The sequence below is a fragment of the Homo sapiens genome, chromosome 12 (assembly GCF_000001405.40).
Source record: "Homo sapiens chromosome 12, GRCh38.p14 Primary Assembly".
NCBI classification, from domain to species: Eukaryota; Metazoa; Chordata; class Mammalia; order Primates; family Hominidae; genus Homo; species Homo sapiens.
The window spans coordinates 114,285,607-114,288,741 of record NC_000012.12 but is presented as its reverse complement, the minus strand read 5'-3'; the positions used below and the strand labels follow the sequence as shown (position 1 = coordinate 114,288,741).

At 43.7% G+C, this 3,135-nt stretch overlaps 1 annotated feature.

Moving 5' to 3' along the window:
* Positions 2,085 to 2,830: an enhancer, noted in NCBI's record as "OCT4-NANOG-H3K27ac-H3K4me1 hESC enhancer chr12:114723717-114724462 (GRCh37/hg19 assembly coordinates)". NCBI's record gives its function as "activates a minimal SCP1, AML or CMV promoter by ChIP-STARR-seq in primed H9 embryonic stem cells {active_cell/tissue: H9 hESC(primed)}" and the evidence as "EXISTENCE:reporter gene assay evidence [ECO:0000049][PMID:30033119]".

Genomic DNA, 3,135 nt, shown 5'->3' with positions numbered 1-3,135 from the left:
GCCCAAGGTGTTTTTGATAATTCTGGAAAAGGTCCTGTGTTGAAAGCAGATAACATAGAGCAAGGTCTCGGGTTGCTTTTCCCTGAATTTTCCTGCCTTGGCCCCTCTTATCCAGGGCTTTCCCTTCCCCAGCCTCTCCTTCACTGTGTGGTGGTGGTGGTGGGGGTGTCTCTGACGGCAGTGGGAGGAAGTCTGAAGAGACGGGGGAGGCAGAAATGGAAAGGCAAAGGGCAGAGAAGTAGAGATTTCAGAGACCAACTGGTTCTATCAGCCACCCCCTCCGCATGCCCACCTAATGGTACCCTCCTCTCTCCCTCTCCCCAAGTTATCTGCATGGCGTGTCTAACTGAAATTGAAGACCTGCTTAACTGTGCGCCTACCCAGTCTGATCTCAAATGTGGGCTACCACAAAATATGCACTGGTGCTTCCAGTTCCCAGGAATCTGACAAAGTGATTGATGCCCAGCAAAGCTATTTCTTCAGAGGTCTGGAGCCAGTCTCTTGTTTAAGCCTTGAAATTGAAGATCCTTCCAACACACCAATCTTGTGCTAATGAACCTAAGAAGACTGAAGTGAAATGTGTGCCAGGCAACCCTGAGAAACACCCACAGGCTTGTGTTAAAGCTTGTATCTGTGCTATAATGCTGCCTTGCAAATAAACCCTGAGATTTTACCAGCCCACAAAAACTGTAAGATAGATGAGGTCTGCTTGTCACTGACAGCATGCAAACAATTCTTCATCCATGTGATCAGGGTGGGTTTAAATCAGGAGAACACTGTCTTGAAAAAACAAGGGATTTTCTTTTTCCATCCCAAATCCCTTGGAAAATCTGGTAAAAGCTGTAAGTCCTTTGATCAGGAAAAAAATGCACATGTACAGATACATAAAATTGTACATAAAATTCTAATAATAACAATGAGGAGACTTTAAAACAGCACAAGTACTCTTTTAAGTTCTTAAGTTCGCTAATTTAATCCTTATTAAAATTTCATGATATAAACACCACTATTATCCCTATTTATCCAAGGTTGCTCAGGTACTAAGTGGGGGATCTGAGAGATGAGTCCAGAACTCTGAGGCCAGTGTCTTTCTTTCTTTTCTTTTCTTTTTTCTTTTCTTTTTCCCTTCCTTCCTTCCTTTCTTCCTTCCTCCCTTTCTCTCTCTCTCTTTTTCTTTTTTTCTTCTTCCTTTTCTTTTTTTTTTTTTTTTTTTTGTTTTGAGACGGAGTCTTGCTCTGTTGCCCAGGCTGGAGTGCAGTGGTGCGATCTCAACTCACTGCAACCTCCGCCTCCCGGGTTCAAGCAACTCTCCTGCCTTAGCCTCCTGAGTAGCTGTGATCATAGGCATGCACCACCACAGCCGGCTAATTTTTGTATTTTTAGTAGAAACAGGGTTTCACCGTGTTGGCCAGGCTAGTCTCAAACTCCTGGCCTTGTGATCCACCTGCCTCAGCCTCCCAAAGTGCTGGGATTATAGGCGTGAGCCACTGCACCCGACCAGTGTCTATGTTTCTAACCACTACTTCCAAAGTACCTGGCAGAGAGGGACTCTGATGGGAGTGACCCAATTATAATCCATTGTGAAATTAATGATTCAGGTTTCAAAGTGTCCCACTTTTTAAAAAAAAATTTACATTTTACACACTCAGGTGGATATCTGTTGTTTTTGCCTGTCTGACATCCTTTCCTCTGTGGCCTTCTCCAGCCCCCTGCCTTCAGTCTCGGTGCTTCTGATGAACTTGACTCCAGTCTCCCTGGGATGGGCAGGTGTGTGTCCTAGATTTGTTTAATGAGACCCAGCGTTCCCCTGGCTATGAGGTTGGTTTTGGAGTGACTACATAGTTCAAGCTGGACCAATCCTCGCCATAAAGTGTTAGACCAGGGACTTTCGATGGAATTACTGGGAAAGCCTCTTCTCTGCTGAGATTGCTAAAAAAAATCAATGTTAACATTTTTGGAGTAATCCAATAAATAAACACCCTTGAGAATGAAACTAAAACAGAGGAAAATAGAAGCTAGAGATAAAGAGAATTGAAGTCAAAATTTTTGCTGGTTTTGATCACCTTAATTCATCAATGCCTGATCTCTTGGACAAGTACATGAAACAATACTGTGGGAGTGGGAGTTCTGTTCTGGGCAGAAAGAATCCTGGTAAATATGCATTTTTTATCATTGCCCTCCTTTTTGTCTCCAAATGCAACCTCTCTCCATGATATGGATGGCAACATGAGGTAGCAATTGTGTTTAAGACCATACAGCTTCATACAGTGCTCACTGGCTACAAAGACCGCAGACACCTTTCCCTTTCATTATGTTTCAGACACCTCCAGTATAGTTGTGGGGTCTCCCAAGTCTCTTCCTCACATGCTCAGCTTACACACATTCTTAAACAGCAGGTGCTCCATCATTGCTTGCCAGTGTCATGGAATTGTAAATAAGGCTTTTGCTATCCTGGAATTTGAGCCAAACTTCAAAGCTGAGGCTAATAATGGCTGTTGAGGGCTCAGAATTCTAAAGAAAGGGTCTGGACCCCCTTGTCAGGACTACTTGCAATAAGAGACCTAAAACTGGTTCTTATCACCCATGACACAAAGCGGCAAATATGAAGGAAAAACTAAATTGTGAGGATTTCCTCAAAGAGAGTTGTTAGAGCATACATCTTTCTCTTCATGCTGTTCCTTCTTCCAGGGTGATCCTTTCACCTTCATATAAGTGGTGAATTTCAGTTATCCTTAGAACTCAGGTTAAACATTGCTTCCCCTGGGACCTTTCCATGTTTCCTGTAGCTAGACCTGTTGCTCCTGTCCTCTGTCCTTTCTCCCAGAATCCTTAATATATTTATTTAGGTTATAGTACTTGAACATGCACACTAATAGTGTAATTGTATGACATGTGTTGTCTCTCCTCTTAGGCTAACAGAGCCAACCTGGCATTGACCTGCATTATTCACCTCTATACACGTGCAGGAGGGGAATGGGGTGAGCTGGGTGCAGCTCTAACAGCCTTCCTGCTACAGGCAAGGCCCTTTAACTTGCTCAGCACTGCCACAGGCTTGCATTTGCAAAAATGGACCTTGAAGCTGAATTTGGGAGCAGAGCCAGAGAGAATGGCATTGTTCTGTAAAATGGAGTGTGG